The sequence below is a fragment of the Homo sapiens genome, chromosome 2 (assembly GCF_000001405.40).
Source record: "Homo sapiens chromosome 2, GRCh38.p14 Primary Assembly".
Classification (NCBI taxonomy): Eukaryota; Metazoa; Chordata; class Mammalia; order Primates; family Hominidae; genus Homo; species Homo sapiens.
The window spans coordinates 48321875-48348676 of record NC_000002.12 but is presented as its reverse complement, the minus strand read 5'-3'; the positions used below and the strand labels follow the sequence as shown (position 1 = coordinate 48348676).

Here is a 26802-nt window from a genome sequence, read left to right as displayed (position 1 = left end):
CTTCTCAATTACTAACTAGACTGACCAATACCTGTTCACACTAACAGCCTAACAGAGTAGAGGCATGCCTATTTCTGGGTAGAAATATTACATACTTCCGTCCCTGCCATTCTTTTGCAATGTCTGATATTCAATCCAAAATTATAAAATACATACAAAAACAAGAGATTAAAACAGTCAGCAAAACCAGATCCAGAGATGGACCAGATATTGAAACTGACAGACATTATATAATAACTATAATTAATATGTTTATGGATCTAGTGGGGAATTTTAGCAGAGACAGAAACTTTTTTAAAAGGAAAATGAAAACATTAGAAATTAAAAACATGAAGAAGTCCTTCATTGGGGCTTATCAGCAGAATGAACACAACAAAGAAAAACGGTGAACCTATAGAAAAATCAATAAAAATTATCCAAACTAAGAGAGAAAGAGTGGAGGAAAGGCAAAGCAATCAAGAGGTAAGACAAATAGCAAATGGTCTAATATATTTTTACTTGGAGTCCTAAAAGTAGGAGTGAGGCAGAAGAAATATTTGAAGAGATAATGAGCAAAAATTTCCTAAATTTAATGAAAGGCAATAAACCATATATTTAAGAACCACTGAGAACCCAAAGCAAGATAAAAATAAAGAATAACACATCTAGGCCCTCTATAGTCAAACTGCTGAAAAACAGTGATAAAGAGAGAAAGAAAAAATACTGAAGACAGCAATTAAAAAAAGAGACATTACATAAAGAGGAATAATGACAGCAGACTTCTCACCAGAAACTATGGGAGCCAGAAGACAATAAATCATCTTTAAAATACATAGAAGAAAAAAATGTCAACCTAGAATTCTAAACCTGCACCCCACAAAAAAGTTTAAAATAACCATTGCCAGCAAAACTGAATAATGAGAAATTTTAAATAAACTTCTCCAGGCAAAAGGAATTAATCCAATAGGGCATCAGGTGCCAAGCAACTTTTTCTGTAAAGAGCCAGTTACGTGAAATGGTATAATATTATTTGAAGGTGGACCAATGATAAATTAAAGATGTATACTGAAAACCATATAGCAACCACTAAAATACATAAATAATCAGGCAATAGTAGAGATAAAATTGAAGCATAAAACACACACACACACACACACACACACAACACCTCGGCTGGGCACAGTGGCTCACACTTGTAATCCCAACACTTTGGGAGGTCAAGGTGGGTGGTACTTGAGGTCAGGAGTTCCAAGACCAGTCTGGACAACATGGCAAAACCCCATCTCTATTAAAAATACGAAAATTAGCAGGGCGTGGTGGCACACACCTGTAGTCCCAGCTATTCTGGATGCTGAGGCATTAAGAATCGCTGGAACCCAGGAGACGGAGGTTGCAGTGAGCAGAGATCGCGCCACTGTACTCCAGGCTGGGTGACAGATCGAGACTGTCTCACAAAAAAAAAAAAAAAAAAAAAAAAGCACCAAAACACCAAAACCAAAAGTGAAGAACACCTCATCCCACAAAAGGCAGGAAAAGTGGAAAAGAAAATCAAATAAATAGCAAGGTGATAGATTTAAACCCAACCATATCAATTTCATTAATTTAAATGGTCTATACTTTGATTATAAGGCAGAGATTATCATATTGAATAAAGAATCAAATGCTGATAGTTATAGGAACACTACAGAAACTAGAAACAAAGAACTAAAATAATAAAAAGACTAATCTAGGTACCTATAGTGGACAAAACATAATTCTGCTAAATTTATATCAATATTTAAGAAATTTTAAAACATCTCAAGTGAAAACAAATGAATATAATTCAGTTCAGCTGAAGTAATTTGACTTGACTACTTATTGTCTCCCCGATTTCCAGATATTTTAAGGGCTCCATGTTAATTAGTCCCCCCACCTCACCAAATATAGCAATGTTCATAAACACTGACCTTGCCATGGCTTCTTTCCACTTTCTGAAAACATTTATTCAGGGACAGATTATGTCGAACAGAATTCTTCCAGCCTGTTGGTGCAGTAGCAAAATATGGAAAATGGTCCAGAATCCAGCTATAAATTTCTTTGACAGGCAAACATTTATTTGGAGAGTGCTCAATGGCCATATAAATGAGAAGACTAAAGGAGTATGGGGGCTTTGAAGTCGCTGATTTTTTTTCTGGGTTCTGGTAGCAAGCTGGTCCAAAGGATGGCACATCATCTCCCTCTATGTCATACAATGGACTAACAATTGGAAGACCCTCACTTCCGAGGCTGAAGTTTGTTAGAAGATTAGTGCTTTCATGAAGCCAGTTCAAGTTTGTGAGTTCATCATCTGCTGACTCACTGTCCACTAGAGTGGCCTTCGGCCTGGCAGCATCAACAGCTTCAGGCAAGCTTCCCATTTTGTAAATCTGGCTTAATCCTGCAATCTTTTCAGCTCCTGGGGTTTCAGCTCTCTTATCTGGAGTCATTCCAATTACTGGACCCATTTACTCTTACAGTTCTGCAACAAAGGAAACAATTATCAATGTAATACTTTAGATTCTTAAACTCTGGGAAAAAGAAAATACATATGTAAATATCCCCAAATCAGAGAAATTTTGCAATCAATTGTCCCACATAATATTTAAGCACAACATTTGTATAATGAAGATACTAATGGTTATAATACAAGGAAAATAACTTATATTAGTTGAAATGGCTGTAAATAAAGTGCAGCTTTATAGGACCAGGTGTATGGGTGATATTAACACAATTAAATAGTGTATTTTAAATACTTAGTAAAGTACCTAGCCCACACTAATCACCTAATAGGAAGTGGCTATTATTACTTAAAGTGGACAGGCTATTTCTTTGAACTATAAGACTTTATACGTATCTTAAGAATCTATGATTTTACTATATACAAATAGTTGAATCTTGAAAATAATAAATTTGAAATATTTAAGCAATATTTTAAAATAAACCCTTTCCTCAAATCTCAAATATTTACTATAAAAAGAAACTATGTATACTATTTTTACAGCACGTCATACTAAAAAGAGATAACATTTTTATTTCATTATTTATTTTGAATCGACAAATAATGATTATATATATTTATGGGGTACAATGTGATATTATGATACATGTATATATTGTGAAATGATTAGATCAGGCTAATTAATATATCCATCACCTCATATACCTATCTCTCTTTGTGGTGAGAACATTTTAAATGGTCTTTTAGGAATTTTGAAATATACATTATTATTAACTACAGTCATCATGCTATGCAATAGGTCACTAGAACTTACTCCTCTTGTGTAACCAGAACTTTGTACTCTTTGACTAACATCTCCCCCTTCCCTACACCCTCCTCCTACCCCCACCACCCATATCTGGTTACCAACCATTCTACTCTATACTTCCGTAAGTCTAACAAGATAACACTTCTTATTCACTAAATTTATCATTAGCTAAATTAAATTCACTATAAGTTATCATTTCTTTTTAAAATCCCAGTACTTTTAAACTCTGCATTCTATATCATCTCAAGTACTGACATTTCAAGGCTGGCATTCTCTTAGTAAGGTATGAACTGTCCCTGTACTTTCAAGGAGAGCGAAAAATAGCTGTTACTATTCTTTTTTCATTTCTATTTTCTCAAATTATTTTTGTTTTGCACTTTAAACACCCTTCTATTCAAAAACTTTATCATGAGACAATAACAGACCAGAGAAGAAAGCAACAGGCTAATGTGCTATTTAATTAATTTTCAATGGCTCATAAAGATAACTCATTTCTAAATTCAGTGAAAAACCGACTATTATCCTATTCAACCCACTTATGCTTGTGTAACTGAAATAATTGGGGGGGGGGGGTACCTCCAGAGTTTGTTTTGCTTAAGACATAGATGGCAGGTTACTTCAAGAATTCTGAAAACCGGCTAATTTTATTTCTACTTTTTATGTCAGTTATGTAAAAGAGAAAACTAGTTAATTTTAGATGTAGAACAGTTTATCTGGATTCTGGGAGCTACCACCAGAAGTAGTTAGCCTCAGAGCACTCCATTAGCAACAGCCTTAGATAATACTTTAGTGCCCAGGCATTGTGCTAAACAATTTACATATGATATCTCAATTAACTGTCAATTAAACCCTATAAGGTAGGCACTATTATTAATTCAACTTTATTGATGAGGAAAATTAATCAGAGAGGTTAAGCGTAAGTGGAACTGTCAGAATTTAAATCCAGGCAGACTGACTCCAGAAACAAAACTCTAACCACAATATGTGCTGGCAACAGTATGTACACAACACCCATGAGCACCAATGACTCAAATCCTATTCATTTTAAATCTTAACAGCATTCTTTCCATATCCAGTTCTTATCTCTCTCCTGTGCACCCATAACTTGAAACATCACAACACTGTAAAAAGGAAAAGATCAAACGATAACGGATTTGGTTTCTGTTTCAATCTCTTATGAAAACCACACATAAATAAACATTCACATATATGAGCACACAATGTATTTCAGAACTGATATCCTGTACTATGTAAGTGACCAAATTATTCATTTTATCAAAGTCTCTCTATTCATAGAGACTTAAAAACATGACGAATGAGAATTGAATAATGTCTTGCTTCCTTAAAAAACAAACAAAAAACCACTCTTTAGTGTACCCAGTGTTCAGTTAAAGAAGGGAGTGATTAATTTCTAATGTCTCACTTTTGCCTTGTCACTTAAATCTCCATCTATCTTCCATTACATCTAGAAATTAGAAAGTACCAAACAGCAGTGGCTAACATTTGCTGAGATTTTACTACATTACAGATTCTATGTCATAGGCTTTAAAATGCATCATCTCTACTTACTCTGAACTACTCCTTAGTTCAATAAATGCCCTTCCTTTCCAACTGTGAATTCCATGAGGAGGCAAGAGTCTTTTTTTTTTTTTAAAGAGACAGGGTCTCACTCCGTCACCCAGGCTGTAGTACAGTGGCGATATCATGGTTCACTGTAACCTCCACCTCCTGGGTTCAAGCGATCCTCCTGCCCCAGCCTCCCAAGTAGCTGGGACTACAGGCACACACCATGCCCAGCTAATTTTTAAATTTTTTTTATAGAAACAGAGTCTTGCTATGGTTGCCCAGGCTGGTCTCAAACAATTGGCCTCAAGCAATCCTCCTGCCTCAGCTTCCCAAAGTGTTGGGATTACAGGCATGAGCCACCATGCCTAGCTGGGATAAGAGTTTTTTACTTTTGCATTCCTAATGAATCTTTTCAAAATGTTGAGTATGAGTAGACACTCAAATCATAATTATTTCAGATGGAAATGAACTCATAATACAAATTATTTGTCTATTCTGCAAAAAGGTGCACTAACTGCCTTGAAGAGTTAATTTATTTTGGAAATGAATCCTTAATGGTAGGAAACATCCTAAATGGTAACAATAAAAAAAACTGAAATTCATTGTTAATAAGGAAATGGAAATGAAGTAAGCCATTTCCCTAAGGTTCTAAAGCTAATAAAAAGTGGAGCCAAAATTATAAACGAGGCTAAGTTCAATATTCAAATTTCTGGCCATTAGAGTCACTCTCAATCGCTCAAGAAACTTGAATTTTTATCAATACTACTTAAAACAGAAATAGTGAGTTTTATTAACGTAACATACTCAAAAATCAGTCTCCTGATAACTATTGACTAAATTTTCTCATAAGTAATTTAAATGGTTGCAAGTATGTTATTCCTCTGAATTACAAGTTTACAAAAAAATTTCATTAAGATGTAAAGAAATAGTATGGCAGCAAAATATGCCAAAGAGTTACAGAGTGTTAATCCAAGCAAAGTTTAAAAACCAAGTATTGACATTATTAAAAACCAAGTGCTGACATTATCTTAGTAAGGTTTGAACTGTCATTGTGTTTTCAAGAAGGAAAAAAAGCCGTTTATAAACTATCCTTATAGAACACTTTAGAGCACTATCCACTTAGATGAGATCAGGCATGTTCAGGGTGCTATGACCGTAGACAGAGCACTATCCATTTGGAACACCAAGTCCACCACAATGGATAAACAGGCAAATGATCTTTTCTCACATATTAAATACAAATAGCAAACAAATACATAAATTAAAAAATTATATAAAAAACTTATTTTAAAAAATATAAAATAAACAATTTTGGGCAAGGACCTAGGGCCATTTCGGAAAGCTAAATGGAAATGTGTATCACGAATTATTAAAAATTTCATTCTTTGACCCAACAATTCCAAATGTGTCACTTTTGTGAAATAATCTTATGTAGGGAAAAAGATATTCCCTTCCCAACCCACGATGTGTGGAGGGACACACAGATATTCATCCAAGAATTATTAAAGATAATGGAAAACTATAAACAACTTACATTTTCTATAACAGAGAAATGGTAAACTAAAGCCCAACTATTCAATCTAATATTTAGTAGCCATTAAAAATTACTGACTTGAAGAATGTGAATAAATTAAAAAGCTTATAAAAACCAGTGAAAAAGTAAAAAATACATACAAAAAAGAAAACGGTGATTTATATTACTAATTTTTGTCTTTGTTGTTCTATTTCCCAATTTTTCTTTAATGTGCTTATTATTTTTATAGTTTAAAATTAAAACAATAAGCTCAAGGGAGAAAAGGCTGTACTACATTATTTTTAGATGTAGTATTTCCATTTCACACACAAAAATCAAATCTTAAAAAGGTCATGGACTTATCAGAGAGCTCAAGTCAAAAACAGAAGCCACCTCTTATATTCTTAGTACAGCTTGTTCTGTTACAAACCTTTTCCATAACACGAATTAGCCCATTGGTAAATAAGGGAATGATTTTAGTATAATGTAAGTCATATTGGTTTGTACATGATTCTTCTCAGCCTATGTTTTTGTACTACCAAACAACAACAGCTGAACCCGAAATAGGCTAACACAGTGGAAAGCAGCAAGCTGCTGAAAAGACAGTACGGTACACAATTCTCATTCAACCCATGTTCTTCCTCTTGGCACAGCTTGGCCACATGCTCTTTCTTGGAAGTGTTTAATGAGCTCTTCTTTCCAAATCTTTATGCATTTTACCCTGGCATCCATCATCCTGTAGCTTCAACCCTTCCTTGCACAGTGTTCATGTTCTTTTTAAAATCCTAAACTGACCATATTACTTGTTTGTGACAAATTTCATATATGTTTTAATATATTCTAGTATTCTCATTAAGATTTATTTTTGTTAGCATTCTGGTTACAAAGCTGCATATTTTTCACTTTTGAGTGAGTTGGCCCATCAGCTGTGCACAATTTTAGTGTGTTCAGGAATATATAAATATGCAATATTACTACAAAAAGATCTGTATATTTCACAATAAAATCAAGAAAACTTTCTATTTTATTTATTTTAAAAATTATAGTCTTATGAGAAACTACATCTTAAAATGAAATGAAAACATTCACTAGCACAGCATTAATAATATGCATGGTCAGTTTGCTTCATAAAGCCAAATGCATAAATAAAAGGAAACCTGGGCCTATGATGTAACATTTCTTTTTATTACTCCTTTAAGAACAGTATTTCAATGAACCACATAAAATTGTGATACATAACAAATATTACTCAAAAAAAAGGCCAAAATAGTATGATGTGGGATTTAAAAAATGTATTCTAATTTTTAGGAGTATAACTAGCTTAATCCAAGTAATTAATACAACCACTAATAAACGAATTTCTAAGCCAAGACACTGCTATCCAAAAAAGTAGATAAATGTACTATACACTTTAGCAAAGTACACATTTGTGTTAAGGCTCCCATCTTCTACATTCTAAAAAAGAAAAAAAATTATTCACGAGGAGAATTTTAAAAGTGGAGAGTTCAAGCTTTGTGCAGTAGCAGTATCGTAGCCAATGAGGTTTATCTGAGTGCAATTATTGCTAATTGGAAACTTTTCCCAATACCCCACTGCAATTACTTGCGATATAGTCAGCACTGGCAATTTTTGACAGTCTCTATGGAGACATCAATAAATAAATAAATAAAATAAGAAAAATGAATAAAAATAAAAGTGGAGAGTTCAAACCAACCCAGTACAATCACTCTGGAACCCATCTAGAGCTTGACTGTGTGCCTGCCATGGCGGTATCTTGAGAAGAAGGCTTCGGATTTAAATGTACTATTTTTTTTTTCACAGTTGTGCAGCTCATGCATCTCCTAAGGTGTCTAACAGAGATTTGCACATCTGCATATTACGTTCAATGTTATAGTGATATCCTACTCTAGGATAAGAAATATAAAATTATGTATTGGAATTCTCTGATCATTTCCCAAAAGGTCATAGGAGAGCATTTTTGCTTAGGTTGGTATTAACATTGGTAAGAGAGAAATGCTTCAGAGACTACATAAGAAAAGGGAAACAAAGCCACAGAATTTTCAGCATTACCTAAAACATAATATGCTGCATTACAGAGAATTAGATGTGTCACAGTGATAGCCATTTTTGCCCAAAATAACTAAGAAACCTACTAAACACAAAATGTTGATTTAACCAATCAGAATTTTGACTTACTTTTCCACACTTTTAACTGATTAAAGACCGAGTTAACAAAAGGTTTTTTCTTTATACTTTTCCCAGATGTTAGAATCCTTAAACATTACTTAGCCTTCCACATTTAAACATCACATAAAATTAAATTATATGGAAGACATTCTGAGACTTGTTTTTTCCCCCATCGAATTCATTAACATTATTGTAGCAGTAATTCATTTTTACAGAGACTAGTATTCCATTTTATGAATATTCAATAATTTCTTATACTTTTAAGGAACATTTAATTGTTTATGTTTGGGGCTATTACAAGTACTACTGTTATAGAAGTCTTTGTTCATATCACCTGGTATACAAGTGTCAGAAATTTCTCTTGAGTATACATCTAAAAGTTGAACATATGTCAAGAAGTAGAATTATTTGGTCACAGAATAGCCTTCAACTTTAATTGATGACAAACTGCTTACCAAAAAATGCTGAATCAGTTACCACTAACCAGGAGTGTATATACCAAATGCTTCATGTACTTGCCAAAATTGTTTTTGCCAATCTGATGACTACTGTATTAGTCCGTTTCTACACTGCTAGAGGGACATATCCGAGACTGGGTAACTTATAATGGAAAGAGGTTTAATTGGCTCATAGTTTTGCATGGCTGGGGAGGCCTCAGGAAACTTACAATCATGGCAGAAGGGGAAGCAAAAATGTCCTTCTTCACATGGTGGCAGGAGAGAGAAGTGCTGAGCAAACTGGGGAAAAGCCCCTTATAAAACCACCAGATCTTGTGAGAACTCACTATCACAAGAACAGCTTGAAGGGACCACCCCCATGATCTAATCACCTCCCACAAGGCCCCTTCTCAACACTTGGGGATTACAATTCGGATTACAATTAAAGATGAGATCTGGGTGGGGACTCAGAGCCAGACCATATCAACTCTGAAACTGCATCTCCTTGCAGTTTTAATTTGCATTTCCCAGGCTAGTAACAGGGCAGAAGACCTTTTTATTCATTCATATATATCTGTATATGGATATATAGAATATGAATGTATAGATATATATGAACATATAGCTATGAATATATATCTATACATATGCCATTTGGATTTATTCTTCCATAAAGTATCTATTGAAGCCTTGTGCCCATTTTTTTATGGGTTTTCTTAATGATTTGTAATGTTTGGATACTAATAACTTATATGTGATGCAAATATCTTTCCCCAGTAGATGACTTGTCTTTTCAATCTCTTTATTGGTTGCTTTTAGTAAGAAATTTCTTTACTTTCATATGGTAGAATTTATTAACCCTTTTCTTTATGGTCTACAGTTTGTTTTATAATTTTTGCCTTTTACATTTAAATCTTCAACTCACCAAAAATGTATACATGTATTTTTTATCCAATTTCATCTTTCACATATAAACATAAAATTGTTCCAGCACCATTTATTAAAAATTTCAGGCCAGGCGCGGTGGCTCATGCCTGTAATCTCAGCACTTTGGGAGGCAGAGGCGGGCGGATCATGAGGTCAGGAGATTGAGACCATCCTGACTAGCACGGTGAAACCCCCTCTACTAAAAATACAGAAAATTAGCTGGGCCTGGTGGCGAGCGGCTGTGGTCCCGGCTGCTGGGGAGGCTGAGGCAGGAGAATGGCGTGAACCCAGGAGGCGGAGCTTGTAGTGAGCTGAGATCGCGCCACTGCACTCCAGCCTGGGCGACAGAGCAAGATTCCGAGATTCCGTCTCAAAAAAAAAAAAATGGCATCCTTCCTGTTAGGAGAACCTATCCACCATCAGTCCTTAGCATCCCTGCACACTCTCACCTGTTAAGAATGCAAGGCCTTTTATCTGGGCCATTTCTCAGTTTTTTGTTTGCTGCAAGCAAACCTGAGGTATGATTTAACATCTCCTACTAAAGAACAGGCCAACTTCCAGCATTTCTTCTCTGATCGATGAGATATCGAGAAAACTTTTTTTAGTTTCCATGTGATAAAGGAAGTTTTTTTGTGTTACCTATTTCTAACTTAACTGAGTTGGTATTATAACAGTGTATAGGGTATCAATTCTCTGAAATTTGTTGAAACTTGTTTCATGGCCCAGTACATGATTAATTTTCATAATGATTCATTTGATGTTTCTATGGTGCATGGATGAAATATATGTCCATTGGATGAAGCTTGTTAATCGCACTGTTTAAATTTTCTGTATTCCTACTAATCTTTTTTTGGGGTCTGCTTTCTATATCAAATACTAAGGCAGATATATTACAATCTCCTGCTATACTGGAAAAACTTTTCAATTTTTTCCTTGTACATCTGTTAATTTTTTGCTTTATTTTGTGGCTATGGTTATTAATTGCATGTAACTTTAAAACATATATATTCCTGCCAAATTAGCCATTTCCCATTATGTATCAATTCTTTTTGTCTTTAAGTCTATTTGAAATTATATACTAGCTTTCTTTCCATTAATATTAGTCAGGCAGCAGCCTAAGTGTCCATCAACGAAAGAAATGGATGTGGTGCATATACACACGAAAAAGAATGAGATCAGGCCAGGCGTGGTGGCTCACACCTGTAATCCCAGCACTTTGGGAGGCAGAGGTGGGCGGGTCATTTGAGATCAGGAGTTCAAAACCAGCCTGGCCAACATGGTGAAACCCCATCTGTACCAAAAAAAAACCCCACAAAAATTAGTGGGGCATGGTGGTGTGCACCTGTGGTCCCAGCTACTTTGGGAGGATGAGGCAAGAGAATTGCTTGAACCCGGGAAGTGGAGGTTACAGCGAGCTGAGATCACACCACTACACACCAGCCTAAGCAACAAAGGGAGACAACTCCGTCTCACTTTAAAAAAAAAAAAAAAAGAGATCCAATCATATGCAACAACATGGATGGAACTGGAGATCATGTTAAGTGAAATAAGCCAGACACAGAAAGACAAACGTCGCATGTTCTCACTTATTCATAGAATCTAAAAATCAAATGAATTGAAATCATGAACGTCTAAGAGTAGAAGGATAGTTACTAGAGGCTGGGAAAGGTAGTGGAGGATTAGTGGGAGGGAGGTGGGGGTGGTTAATGAGTACAAAAAAAAAAAAAAGTGAATAAGACCTACTATTTGATAGCACAATAGGGTGACTATAGTCAATAATAACTTATTTGTATATTTTTAAATAACTTAAAGAATGTAATTAGATTATCTGTAACTCAAAGGATAAATGCTTGAAATGATGGATACCCCATTTTCCAGGATGTGCTTATTTCACATTGCATACCTGTATCAAAACATCTCACGTACCCCATAAATATATACACCTACTATGTACACACTAAAATTAAAAAAAAAATTGCCAGGTGTATGTTTTTCCATCATTTTACTTTCAACATTTTCCTTTGTTTCCTTGTAGTCTCTATCCTAAACCCCATATACATGAATATTGTTTTTAAAGGCATACATGTATTTGGATTTACTTCTACCATCCTTTTTGGTATCCTGCTCTTTCCATGTTAATTTTTCTCTTTCTTTTTTTGCCTTCTTTGGAATGATTCTTTTTTCTCATTCCATTTTTTTTAATCCTCTACTAGTGTGGAAATTATATACATATTTCTATCACTGAAATGTCACCTTATAAATTTTGATATATACTTCTAAAAATCCAGTTATCTTTAGTCTGCTCGTAAATAAATAAATATATATACACACACACACACACACACACATATACATATATATATATTTTTTTTTTTGGAAACTGAGGCTTGCTCTGTCACCCAGGCTGGAGTGCAGTGGCACAATCTCAGCTCAAAGCAACCTCCCCCTCCCAGGTTCAAGCGATTCTCCTGCCTCGGCCTCCTGAGTAGCTGAGACTACAGGCGTGCACCACCACACCCGGCTTTTTTAAAAAAATATTTTTGGTAGACACTGGGTTTCACCATGTTGGCCAGGCTGGTCTTGAACTCCTGACCTCAAGTGATCTGCCCACCTCGGCCTCCCAAAGTGCTGGTATCACAGGCGTGAGCCACCGTGCCAAGCAACAATAAAAAGTCCTTTAAATGCTAGCTCCAATCACCTTCTCCTGGTTTATAATACAGCTTTTTATTTTTTATTTTATTATTTTTTTTTTTTTTGAGACAGAGTCTTGCTCTGTCGCCCAGGCTGGAGTGCGGTGGTGCGATGTTCACTCACTGCAAGCTCTGCCCCCTGGGTTCATGCCATTCTCCTGCCTCAGCCTCCCGAGGAGCTGGGACTATAGGCGCCTGCCACCACGCCTGGCTAACTTTTTTCTATTCTTAGTAGAGATGGGGTTTCGCCGTGTTCACCAGGATGGTCTCTATTTCCTGACCTCATGATCCGCCTGCCTCAGCCTCCCAAAGTGCTGGGATTACAGGCGTGAGCCACCGTGCCCAGCCAATATAGCTTTTTCTTAACTTCATAAGATGCTATTATTATTTATGGAGTCCACTTTTATTCACCTATATAATTGTCACCGTCTTTGATCATTTCTTCTTAAATCTCAGATTTTCTACTTCTGATCATTTACTTCTGCTTAAAAAATAGTCTGTCACTGAACTTTCACATTTTATTTGTATGAACATGTTTTTGCTATAGAATTCTACGCTGTTATTTTGTCTTGCATATCATTTCATAGTCCACTACTATTTCCATTACTGTTATCGAAACCTGAATATTCCTTTGGAGGTAATCTGTCTTTTCTCTTAAAAATGTTCCCTTTATTAACCTCTTTTATATTTTCCAATTTCTTGTCTATCTTGTGGTCTAAATTTCTTAAGATTTACCTTTCATTATGCTAACTTTTCAACAGCATATTTGCTTTTATACCTATCCACTGAATTTTAATTTCAATTACTATTTTCATTTCTAAAACTTCTGGTTCCTTTTCAACATGTTTGCTCTTTTCTTCATTTTTAAGCCTGTTACTGAACATATTAAACGTATTTGTTTTCTATTTTACATCTGATAATTCCAAAACGTGAACTATTTGCACATCTGACTCAAATGATTCTCTTATATTGTGCCTTTTTCCTTGGATGGCCTGTAATTTTTATTATAAGCCACTTATTTTCATTAGAACTTTACCAATGGGAATTCTTTGATAATGATGATTATATGTTAGGTTTTATCAGGCCCTTGGGAGTAGTAACAGCCCAGGATCATTTTAAATTCTTAAGGTTTAGTGTGAATTTATGCTGCAAACTAGTGTGAGAGCTGGTTTGTGGTAGCACATTTTCAGTGACATTTTTTCGATTTGCAGTAATATTCTAGAAGAAAATTTCTCTGTAGAAACCCTGGGGGCATAAAGGGAAATAATTTCTATATCACTCTTATAAAGGTACAGTACAATGGGGCTCCAAATTAATGAGGAAGACTATTTCCTGCTAAATGCTCCATCTTGACTGGGTCTAGGCTTTGCTTCCTGATCCCTGAGCCCCACAAAGCCATGAACAGAGAAGCTCACCTGATTTGGCAAATATCCTCAAAGCAATAGCCAGATTCAGAATTCAGCCTGGCCTAAGTACTCTCCCCTTTGCGCCAGAGCACTGATGCATTTAAGATTTTATTTTATCCAGCATTTTAGGTTGTTTTCAGCAGAAAGCTGAAGGTACTTGGTACCTTGATCCAGGTACGTGGTTCACCATGCTGCTGGAAACAGATGTTTACATTAGTTTCTGATGACAACGTCACTAAAGTACATTATCCTTTATTTTAGCACATAATTTCTTATGTTTTCCTTTCTCCCTCAGCACACTTGAGAAGTCTGACATACTTCTAACAAGAGTTGTCATTATGACAATGAATCTCAATTGGAAGTATCCCTGGAGGTAAAAGATTAATGGATACATTCTACAGGCCACACAAGTGTTGCAAATTTTCATTTTGTGCTTTCATTTCAATAATAAAAAATGTATTTTACCATTTTCAAAGAGAAAAGTGAGAGATATTTTTAAAGAAAACTGCCTTAAGAACTATAGTTGGAGATTCTCAAAACGAGATTTTTTTTTCTTTAAAAGAGATCCATATTATTTGAGAGGGGCACTGCTCCATACTGAAAGGTCTCAAATTGCTATATTTAAGTTACCAAAAAAACCTTACTTCCATATCTTAGTCCTCAATGGTACTGTATGTAGTCAATGTACCTGATTATTCAGGTCTGCAATCCCTTATCTAAAAACCTTAGGGCCAAATATATTTCAAAATTCAGAATATTTTGGATTTCAGAAAGGTGACATACACACACACACACACACCTCACATCCTAGTGAAGTCTGAGGCAACACCCCAAAATAACTATGTTAATATTTCTGTGGCAAAATGTATATTTACAGTAAAGAGGGGCTGTAAATAAAGACCACCAATACCCTTACATCCACTCAGATCATGTTTTGCCACTATAGGGTTAAGAAAACTTTTGGCTTCTGGAGCATTTTGGATTTCTAAATCATGGAAATGGACTTTTAGATTTATTATCTGTTACAGAATGGAAAGCCAGGTAAATTTCATTAGAATTTCATATAATATCACAGATCTGAATAAAATCTTAATAAGGGTAAAGAGCTTACCTTAAGGGACATGAATTTAATGCATAAACTTCGTGATTCCCCCCAACAAATACTTGTAAGTCTCTTTTTTGTCTATCTGTGGTTTAACAGGTGAGGATACAGAGTGAGTAACCTCCTGATAAGGAAATGTATTATGAATTACTATAATGTCAGAAGTACCTAAATGTATATAGGAATTTTAAATATAGAAATTTAAATCTATATAAAATGTATATAGGAATTTTAAATGCTAAAGCTAAAGTATTAGCTATATTGGACTATGATTATAGTATCTCTGCATCTAGTAATGTAGATAAAAGGTAGAGAAAGAGATGTATAAGAGATATACTATTCAGAAGAACCTCTGCTGGTTCTTTTCTAAGAGGCTTCAAATCAGAAACTTCTTGCTTCTACTACATGCATGGCTCTGTTGTCATGCTTAGAGTCTATCGTAAATATTATATAATTATAAAATGAAAGCCTTCTTCCTTTAGAAAGGATTAACATACATAACACTAGGAGATATTGGGCAGAAACTTGAGGAGGCAATATATTTGAAGTTGAAATTATGAAGGATAAGGAACTTCATTAATTTAAAAATTGAAAAAGGAAAATCTAAATCATTTACCTTGATATTAATCACATCTGGAGACAGTGAACCAAAGGATTACCAGCATGAGCTGTGAAGAAATATTGCTTGGCTTCAAATCCCAGCCCTGCTTTTCACTAAGCTATGAGACCTATCAACTTAGAATTATAATACTACCTACTTTCATAGGATTCTTAGTACAAATTAAACAACAAAAATAAAGCACTTAGAACAGAGGTACAGAGTAAGTATACAATGAATACTCGCTGCAGAGATGGTAATGATGATTATTACTACTATAAATTTTAAAATTATTAGCTTTCTTCCTAAAGTAGATGTATAAATATTATAACCTCCAAATATAAAAATCAGGGTACAAAATCAGTAACAATGCTTTATATTTTGAAGTTTTGAAATTAAAAACATATTTGTCTAGTGTTAAGGATAGATCTCCCTCACGACCAATGACATCCACTGACGAGGTGGCCAAATGAGATCAGGACTTCTTGGAAGAGTGCCACAATACGTCTTTCATCATTTTCTTTACGATTCGACTTTCACTTCCTTATTATATTTGTCCCCATGCACTCTGCAGATATTTTGCCAATCATGCAACATGATAGAACCCTTCTTCTAATCCTTGTAGTTTAATCCAAAAGTACTTTATTATAAACTTTTAATATTTTGTTATTAATGGCCAAGAAAGGTCTAAATTATTAACAGCTTTGTCTGATGCCAACATTCTCACACACAAAAAAAGAATTTATAAACAATAAAAATAACTATACTACCTCTGAAATAATCATGAGTTTTCACTATTAATGCCATTCTCAAAAACAAAAAGAAAAGACACAGCAACAAATGTAATGGCATCATGAAAACAGGACAGGAATATAAATATCTCCTAGTTACATTCATTGTGTCCAACTAATTTAGAATGTACTATTCTGTTTCAGAATTCTTAAGTTAAAATACTCAAAATAATAATTTTTCCATCCATTTTTGAGATAATACTTTTAACAAATGCGGTAGATCTGAGAAAAATATATAAATAACACGGTTAATTTCAGCCTAGCAGCTACAGTACATTAAAAATATGGGTATATGAATATATATTTAATGACCAAAAAAAATCCAGCTAAGTTCAGAAATTCTCATGAACATAAAGGTTCTGGGATTTTTCTTTCTTTTTTTTTTTTTTTCTGGTTCTGTCACCGAGGCCGGAGTGCAGTGGCATGATCATAGCTCACTGCAACCTCAAGCTCTTGGGCTCAAGCGATCCTCCTACCTCAGCTCCCTGAGTAGCTGGGACAACAGGTGTGTGTCACCACACTCAGCTAATTTTCTTATTTCTGTAGAGGCAGCGTCTCCTTATGTTGCTCAGGTTGGTCTCAAACTCCTGGGCTCAAGTGATCCTCTTGCCTTGGCCCCTCCCTAATTGTAAGGATTACAGGTGTGAAACAGTGTGCCTGGCCAACATAAATGATTTTTAGTGTATTCTTTAATAACTTACATAGGTCCACAGCAAATAAGGAATAGCTGCAATTAACTTGGTTCGATTAATTATGAGTTCAATACCTTTAAAAAGTGCTTTTAAAGTTTTATTATTGAATCTCTTCATGCTACATTTTCAATTTTAATTGTTTCTATCTTACCTATACTATAGTTCTTAGAGTCCTAAATCTATGTTGTTTCTAAATAATTGTTTACTTTTTTAAAATTTATATTTCATCCATTATATTGTCTAAGAATTCTTACTGGGAAATAAAATATAGCACTGAGAAAAGACTCAGATCAAAACAAAATACAATAGTCAATTCTTGATAGCCCAAAGCAAACTTAGGCAAATTAATTTTTTCCTTGTACCCTTGAGCCAGTCACTGAATATCTTTCCTTATTACCTCTTTGGGTAATGAAGAACATCAATTGTGCTGTTTCTAATAAGCTTTACTACATGGAGTGAAAAAGAACCATGCCATCTGTTATTTCTACTAGAACTGGAAAGAAGTTGAAACCAACACTTGAATAACTGTACCAAGGGGCCTGAGGAAGACTGTAGCCGGTTCCATGCTTTAAGCAAGGAATAATTAACCTCAAACTATATGGCAGCATCTAGCCTACAGATAAAATTGTTTCTCACCATTTTGACCCTACTACTCCAGCTTCCTACTTAAAATCAGTCTCATTAAATACTTAAACATGTGAATCCTGAAGCATGTAAGAATAGGATTTTTGGGTTACACTTAATTTAAGTTTACTATCTCTAATTCTTTTTAGGTGGTCTTAAGATATTTGGAAACTTTATGTTATTGACTTGCTATTTTACCACCCACCAAGAACTGCATGTCATCAGCAAATCAAGCAATTTCACAAATGTCAAAAGAGCAACCAGAAAGTAGGCATCATCTCAGATTTGTGGCTTTCTTATCCAATCACTCTCAAGTAACCAATATTAAAAAAACAAATTGACTGAGGCTAAGATAACCCTAGTAAAGAGAAAGAGGTAGTCATTCACTGAATTCAGATCACTAAACAATGTTTTTCATAGAAAAAGAAATGTCTGCTACAGAGCTATGGCAAAGCCCAGAAATCCAAATGTTTGTGAATTTTATGGAAGCTGCATAGCAATTAGTTCAATTATTCACTGCAATTTTATAAGCTTTGCCACTAAGATTTAATACATAATAAAAGAAATTTCCATTCAATTTTCCTCTCCTTTCCTCACCTCCAATATTCTTAGGAATGAATCATATTTATTAATTATAATAAGGTACCATTTCTCAAGACTGGAAGCCACAGCATTGTATTTTCCAGATTTATTCAAAAGTATTATCAGCTTATTATAATAAATGACATAATATATTTTAGCAGTTTATAGATACTAATATTTTCTAAATCTGAAGACTACCTCATTTTTAAAAAGGAAAACAATTTTTTATTTATTTATTTTTTTTTCTTGGTAATTAAGGTTGGTTCTCACTCAAAAAAGGAAAACCATTTTCTTCCTGTTAATTTGTCTAGTCAGTAGCAAAAATAAAGTCTAGCATTTACTGAACACACATTATTTGCAATGCACTGTGTAATAAACCTAACAGCCACTACAGCTTTAAAGATATTCTATAATCTCAGAATATCTAAAAACACTGGTAAACCTCATGTAAGGAAAAAAAAGGCATATAAAAGGAAGGAACTCACAACCTTTCCTATTGATTTAACAATACATTTTTTGTTTTGATTAAGATTCTCCATTATAAATAATGTCTATCCCCATAAAATCCAATACTGAGATTAGAGGGTAAAATCAAATCCCAAATGTACTGCAAAAAGATGTATATTTGATTATAATGCTACATGATGTCATGTATCCAGGAGAACTGAAGCATTATGGTCTCTTAGGGATAAAACTGCCTCTTGGTCACAGATTTAGGTGACACAGCATGTGATCCATTGTCTCTAAACAAAAAATGTGTGCAGCTGCATTTTCTAGTCAAGGGGGATGGGAGTGCAGAATACAAAAGGGTCAAAGATCTGTCTCATGGAGAAATTGCTTCTCAAATGAGAGTAAAAAATGAAATAAAAGTGAGTGGGGGGAAAACCTTCTCCAACTCATACTAAAAGCAGATACCATTAAAACTGAAAAAAAGAAAAAAAATATGTGTGGCAACTTTCCACTGAATTTACTTTTCTCCTATACTAACTTGCACAGATTCAATTTGTAAACCATGTGTTTAGATGCTACTTCTATTTAAATATTAATAATTTTCTGTCAATTGTACACAGTGTATAGACTTCCTCTACACAATGTTGCAGCATTTGTCTCAAAAATAAAAGTGTAGTCATTCGTCTCTTTCTTGGGGAAGTTAAAATGAAGCAATAACTTACAAACCTGATATTTTCTGCATAAAGACCAAATACATCAAGATGAGTCTCTAGTACACAATCCTCCTCCGTTTCACAGAAACACGGATTTCAAAAAGCAGTACCACAAAAGATCTAAATTGAGTAAAAACTGTTTTAAGAAAAATGGCTATTTTGAACAAAGGTTAAAAAAAAACTGGTGACTAAATAATTTATAAAGTTCTATTATCTCAAACATAACACTTACATACCCTACATGTTACTAAATACAATAGAAAAGAACCACTACAGCTCTTAGAGTAAATCTGACTTAGAAAACCCATCTACTTAAACTTAAGGATTGCTATCAATGCCACATCTAAACAAAACTGTTAAAAGCAGAAAAAAAAACTGACAGCACAGAAATCAAAGAGCAAAAATAATAATTAAAGGAGAAAAATATACTTACCATCTAGAATCAGAAGTAATATCACCTGTACTATAAGTCATACAGTGACCAATTATTAGCCAACCAGCAGTTTGGTTTTTTGACAGACTTGTACAGTCAGCCCTCTGCATCTGTGGGTTCTGTTATCCATGGCTTCAACCAACTGCACATCAGAAATATTTGGGGGGAAAAAAAGGTTGGTTGTGTCTGTAACGAACAGATATAGACTTTTTTTCTTGTCGTTATTCCCTAAACAATACAGTTTAACAACTATTTATATAGCATTTACATTGTATTAGGTATTATAAGTAATCTAGAGACTTAAAGTACAGTATATGGAAGGAAGTGGGTAGGTTATATGCAAATACTACACCATGTAATACAAGAAACTTGAGCATCTGTGGATTTTGGTATCTTCAGGAGGTCCCAGAATCAATCCCCCATGATATCAAGGGATGACTACATTGCACTTGAAAAACAACACTGAAAGGAACAAAGTTATAGAAACTTAAAAAGTCAACAGAGCGAAAGTCCTAAAGGACAAATCTGGTTGGCATTTGAATATAAACACGTGGTCTTGTCATCAAAATTTGTTTATGTATAATAATATTTCAATGCCTTGAATATAAGTCATAGTCATGCAGTATATCACCTATAGCCAAATAAATTGCTCCACTGAAAAGAAGCATCTTTTAAAAGTATATTCATGATCAGAAATAAATCTAATAAATGCAGACAATGATACCTTACTAATAGCCCCAATGTCAAATTTGGAAAGCAAGAGTAAAACTTAGGACTCTCTACTGATTGGTTTAATATATTGATTTTATATGTAATTCTAAAAACAAAACAAAAATACAATTAACAGAATTAAGTTGATTTTAAATAGGGCTACATTAACCTCATACGTACTCTGACTTAAAAATATATTTATGCTAAAAAATTATTAAAGATATTAATGTTATTAAAGACTATCTCCAGCTGGACACGTTGGCTCACACCTGTAATCCCAGCACTTTGGGAGGCCAAGGCAGGTGGATCACCTGAGGTAGGGAGTTCAAGACCAGCCTGACCAACACGGAGAAACACCGTCTCTACTAAAAATACAAAATTAGCTGGGCGTGGTGGCACATGCCTGTAATCCCAGCTACTTGGGAGGCTGAGGCAGGAGAATCCCTTGAACCCAGGAGGGAGAGTTTGCAGTGAGCCAAGATCGTGCCATTGCACTGCAGCCTGGGCAATAAGAGTGAAATTCCATCTCAAAAAAAAAAAGACTATCTCCAGATCATTTTAGAAAGTAATACTTTCTAAAATAAATGTTTCTAAATAAACTTATATGGAATACAACCTAAATTCTAATAAGCCATATCAACTGCAGCTACATATAGCTAAGTAGTCTAGTGGTCACTACTAGTAGACATGGTTAGCAAGTGAGTGGATGTTAGTTCTATTTGCTACTATAAATACTGGAAGAGAAAATGACTGTTTTTTTTCTTTTTGGAGACAGATTAATGTTTGCAGTGTTTTGTTTTGTTTTGTTTTAAAAACCTGTTGAATTTGAGACATTTGTGAGATATCCAAGTAGGACAGGCATTTGGGATATACGTGACGTAAAGTTCAGGAAAGAGGTCTGGTCTGGAGATAAATTTTGGAGTCATTAAATCTGAAATACCTCTGAAATCTGTCCACATTTCTCCATTTTCACTGTCACAACTATAGCCTAGGTCAACATTATCTTTCATCCAGACCACTCCAAAGGTAGTATAGGTTGAATACTCACTCCTTATCCAAAATTCTTGAGACCAGAATGCTTTGGATTGGGGATTTTTTGGGACTTTGGAATATTTACTTGTATATACATGATGAGATACTTTAGGGATGGGACCCAAGTCTAAACATAATATTCATTTATGTTTCATATATATCTTATACAAATAGCCTGAAGGTAATTTTATTTTTCCCTTGGAGATGCTGAATAAACTATGTGTTGTGCACCTGCATTTTGACTACAAACCATCACATTAGGTCAGGTGTGGAATCTTCCACTTGTGGCATGTTGGCACTCAGAAAACTTCAGATTTTGAAGCATTTCAGATTTTGGATTTTTGCATTAGTGATGCTCAACCAGTATACATGAATGGAAACCCCTATGGTGTGTTCTGCACAACCACACACAGTAGCTCCTACAGTATCTTCCTAAATTAATCTCCCTAAACTTATGCCAGACTCTCTCTTAATTTGTTCTCTGTAATACACTAATGTAATACTGCAGAATGTAAATCTAGCAATGTCCCTTACCTGCTTAATCCATCAAGGGGACCCTTAGGTCAAAATCCTTAACCTTGTATACAAGACCCTGCGTATTTTAGCCATGCTCTAACCTTTCAGGTCACATTTTTTGCCACTCTTTCCCTTGTTCTCTCCATTTCGGATATCTGAATAGACCATGCTTTCTCCTCTCTCAAAGCCTATACAAATCCTAGTCCCTCTGCCTGGAACACTCTTCATTCCACCTAACCCTGGCTAACTGCTATTTATTATTCACACCACAGCTTGGAGATCTTGGGAGAAGAAGGCCGGGCACGGTGGCTCATGTCTGTAATCCCAGCAATCTGGTAGGCCAAGGCAGGCAGATCATTTGAGGCCAGAAGTTTGAGACTGGCCTGGCCAATATGGCAAAAACCCCATCTATACTAAAAATACAAATATTAGCTGGGCGTGGTGGCATGTGCCTTTAACCCCAGCTAGTTGGGAGGCTGAGGCACAAGAATCATCTGAACCTGGGAGACACAGTTTGCAGTGAGCCAAAATCGCACCACTGCACTCCAGCCTGGGCGACTGAGGAAAACTTCGTCTCAAAAAAAAAAAAAAAAAAAAAAGAAATCTTGAGGGAAGAATTCTCTAAAATCCCAGACTATGGAGGGGCCCCAGTTCTACTCTCCCATAGTACTCGAACCTTTTGATAACATTTGTCACACCTGAGATGGTTTAATACATATCTTTCCTGACTAACTGAAAGCTTCATAAGGGCAGAGCTAGTTGTCTGTTTTGTTTACTGCTCAAATATTTGTTGTCTGGCAAATCTTGGTTCTAGTTCTGCTAGTACATAATTTTTCCATCTGTAAAATGAGATGTTAGACTTTATTATAATAATCTAAATTCTAATCAAAACTGAAATTCAAATATTACTACCTTTCCTATAGATACATACATGTGAGATCTACATTTCCTTTCGGTATTTATTCCACATACACTCACATTATATTCCATATATACTCACACATGTATGTATACATTACAAATACACACACACACATAAAATGAAAGAGCTAGTACTTTCATAAATTTAAAAAACTCATTGAATGCTTATTGGTAACAGGTATTGTTGTAAATACTTTACTAGTATTAACTCTTTTAATCTTATTCATAACAACCCTATCAAGTAGTTGCCATTATTAGTGTCTATTTTATATGCAGAAACACACATAGAGAAGGATTAAACGGTGTGCTCCAAACTGGAAGTACTGGCTCCAGAATTCACACTATTCACTGCTACACTAGCCTGACATCCTGCCTAGATTGCTTTTTAAGTACAAAAGACCAAAAACAAACAAACAAACAAAAATCAATAACTGATTCAGTATCTACATCCTCAAGCTAATGCTTCTGTATTAGAAGTCAGTCCAAACTATACTAATCCTGTTCAAATACATTTCTCTATATGCTTGCTTTTGATATTCTAACAACTGGATTGTCTACCTTCCCTCTCATCATTCAGTCAAACCCTAATATTTAAGACCTAATTTAACGACAACTCCTCCACATAATTCCCACCCCAACTTTTTTCTGTTAGAGTCTTTCAATCTCTCCGTGTTCCAACTGCATTTACATTTCCTCTTTTTTACTGTAGTTATTTATGTTAAGAGACCAAAATAAACAATAGACATGAGATCACTTCATAAACACTAAAGTTATTTTATAAGATACTTAATACACACCAAGTCAAAAGTATCGTTAACCAAAGAAAGAAAATAGAAAACAATGGACTCAATATCCCTAAGCAGAGTACTTCAAAAGCAAGCACAACCTGGCTCTAACTTGCTGCCAATTTGAATAGAAGTACAAAGGGAAAATTATACCCAAATCATACCACATCAAGTTTTGTTTTAACTAAACAAAGAAGTCATTTTAATCAAACTACATGAAACAAAAAAAAATTTGAAGGATGAAATATGATATTCATTAAAATATTTACTGGTCCAAGCACTTTGGGAGGCCAAGGCAGGCAAATCACTTGAGGTCAGGAGTTCGAGACCTGCCTGGCCAAAATGGCAAAACCCGTCTCTACTAAAAATACAAAAATTAGCCAGGCAAAGTGGTAGGTGCCTGTAATCCCAGCTACTTGGGAGGCTGGGGCAGGAGACTCACTTGAACCCAGGAGGAGGAGGTTGCAGTGAGCAAGATTGTGCCACTGTACTCCAGGCCTGGGAGACAGAGCGAAACTCTGTCACAAAAAAAAAAAAAAAAAATTACTGAGCAATTTGTCATTCACGTACAGAATACTATGCGTTATACTATGTTTTCCATTCTACTTTGTGACCTTTTCACTTTCTAAATTTCAGGTCTCTACTTAAGAGATAGTTGATGACATATGACAATAGTATAGCAAAAGAAAATTTTTAAAATATTATTTTAATTCCATCTGAACAGTATTTCAAAGTAGTAATTGAAGGAAGTCAACAGTAAATTCATTTGTATAAAAAGCACTACTAAATTGGATAGCCATATGCAGAAGAATGAAACTGGACCCATCTCTCACCATATACAAAAATTAGCTACAGAAAAGACTTAAATGTAAGACCTGAAACTATACTATAAAAATTCTAGAAGAAAACCGAGAAAAAACTCTTCTGAACATTGGCCTGAACAAGAATTTATGACTAAGAACTCAAAAGCAACTGCAACAAAACCAAAAACAGACAAATGAGACCTTAATCAGCTAAAAAGCTTCTGCACAGTAAAAGAAATAATCAATAAAGAGAACCCACATGTGGAATGGGAGAAAATATTTGCAAACTATACATGTGACAAACGACTAATATCCAGAACCTACAAGGCACTCAAACAACTCAACAAGAAAAACACAACTCTATCAAAAAGCGGGCAAAGAGCATGATCAGTAACTTTTCAAGACATAAAGGCAGCCAACCAACATGAAAAAAATGCTCAACATCACTAATCATCAGATAAATGCAAATTAAAACTACAATGAGATACCATCTTACACCAGTCAGAAGAGCTATTTAACAAAAAGACAAAAATTAACAATGCTGGCAAGGATGTGGAGAAAGGGGGAATGCGCATACACTGTTGGTGGGAATGTAAAGTAACAGCCATTATGAAAAACGGTATCGAGTTTCCTCAAAAACTAAAATCAGAACTACCATGACGTTTCAGGTGACAGATATTCTAATTATCTTAATTTGATCATTACACGTTGTAAACATGTACCAAAATATCACATGTACCCTCAAAAATATATCAGTTATAAAAAAAAAACAGAATATTTAAAAATATTGATACACCAATAAAAAACCTCCATCATGACTAAAGTCCACCTCATCCAATCCCTACACTTTGGGGAAAGTAAGCTCCTACTCTGTGTTCTCATAATACCCTTGAATGTATGTTTAGAAGAATATGTCTCATAATGCAATTATTTACTTACATGCATCTTATTCCTAGCACAGTATAAATGAAAGCATTCATACTTTTAAGAGATTGAATCCCACACAAAGTTACAACTAAAAAAAAAAAGAAACAATAAAATAACATCCCTATAAACAATAAAAGCAAGTCTGAAAGAGATGCTCAAAGAGATAAAAATGAACTCCTATTTCAAAGTAAACTTAAAAAAATTATGAGAAATACCTATATCAGATATATATATTGTATTATATATATCAAATATATCAGAAATATATATTGTATTATATATATATCAAATATATCAGAATTAGAAAAGCTCAGACATGAGGTGATAGAGCTCAAGAAAGAATTTAAAATAAAAGGGAAAAAATCATTTCAGAAATGAAGACTTAAAGGATTACGAAAAAAATGTATTGGATAAAATCTTAGAGAAACAGAAGGTGTAAAGAAAGCAAGCTTAATGAAAAAGAAAAAAAGGAGGGGGGAGTGCAAGAATCCGCGTGAGCGTGAGCATGAGCAAGAAAACAGGCTTAACTATAGCATCTAGGGACACATACTTGAGTAATAAAACCAAAAACTTAATTCATTTTCAGAAAACCCAGGACAGTGGTTACTTTTTAAAGGACAGGGTTACACAGGTGCTAGCCTTATAATTCACTAAGTTACACATTTGTTTTGTGTGGTTTTCTGCATTTGTTTCACTTTACAATTAAAAAAAAAAGAATTTAGGAAAATAAACTGCTGCTATTAATTTAAATCTACCTCTAGCCCAGGCACAGTGGCTCACACCTGTAATACCAGCACTTTGGGAGACCGGGGCAGGCAGATCACCTGAGGTCAGGAGTTCGAGACCAGCCTGGCCAACACGGTGAAACCCCATCTCTACTAAAAATACAAAAAAATTAGCTAGGCGTGGTGGCACATTCCTGTAGTCCCAGCTACTCCAGGGGCTGAGAAAGAATTGCTTGAACCTCGAAGGCGGAGATTGCAATAAGCCGAGATCACGCCACTGTGCTCCAGGCTGGGCAACAAAGCAAGACTCCATCTCAAAATAAAAAAGGAACTTACTTGCTATTCTAATTATGTATAATTATTTGCTTACAGTTCTATCTCAGCCACTAGACCTGTAGTTCTCACTTT

General features: G+C 34.8%; 1 protein-coding gene and 1 pseudogene across 26 annotated transcripts in view, besides 1 other annotated feature; one reads left to right on the top strand and one right to left on the bottom strand.

The window, feature by feature from the left end:
* Positions 1-26802, bottom strand: part of FOXN2 (forkhead box N2) — a 65637-nt gene that overhangs the window by 30619 nt on the left and 8216 nt on the right. For 9 of the 26 annotated variants that reach the window (NR_164686.1, NR_164691.1, NM_001375443.1 and 6 more), the window contains exon 2: positions 1926-2476. Coding sequence is in view for 24 of the 26 variants with exons in the window: in NM_001375443.1 (NP_001362372.1) it covers positions 1926-2462 (537 nt within the window). In the remaining 2 variants the exon portion in view is untranslated. Of the gene's footprint in view, positions 1-1925; positions 2477-13998; positions 14184-19554; positions 19662-19974; positions 20117-26802 lie in introns of all 26 variants that reach the window. The other 17 variants (XM_047444106.1, NM_001375442.1, NM_001375450.1 and 14 more) reach the window with 6 other exon arrangements.
* Positions 4331-4390: a silencer, noted in NCBI's record as "silent region_11478". NCBI's record gives its function as "represses an Ori minimal core promoter by ATAC-STARR-seq in GM12878 lymphoblastoid cells {active_cell/tissue: GM12878}" and the evidence as "EXISTENCE:reporter gene assay evidence [ECO:0000049][PMID:35858748]".
* RNU4-49P (RNA, U4 small nuclear 49, pseudogene) lies at positions 7851-7990 on the top strand (annotated as a pseudogene).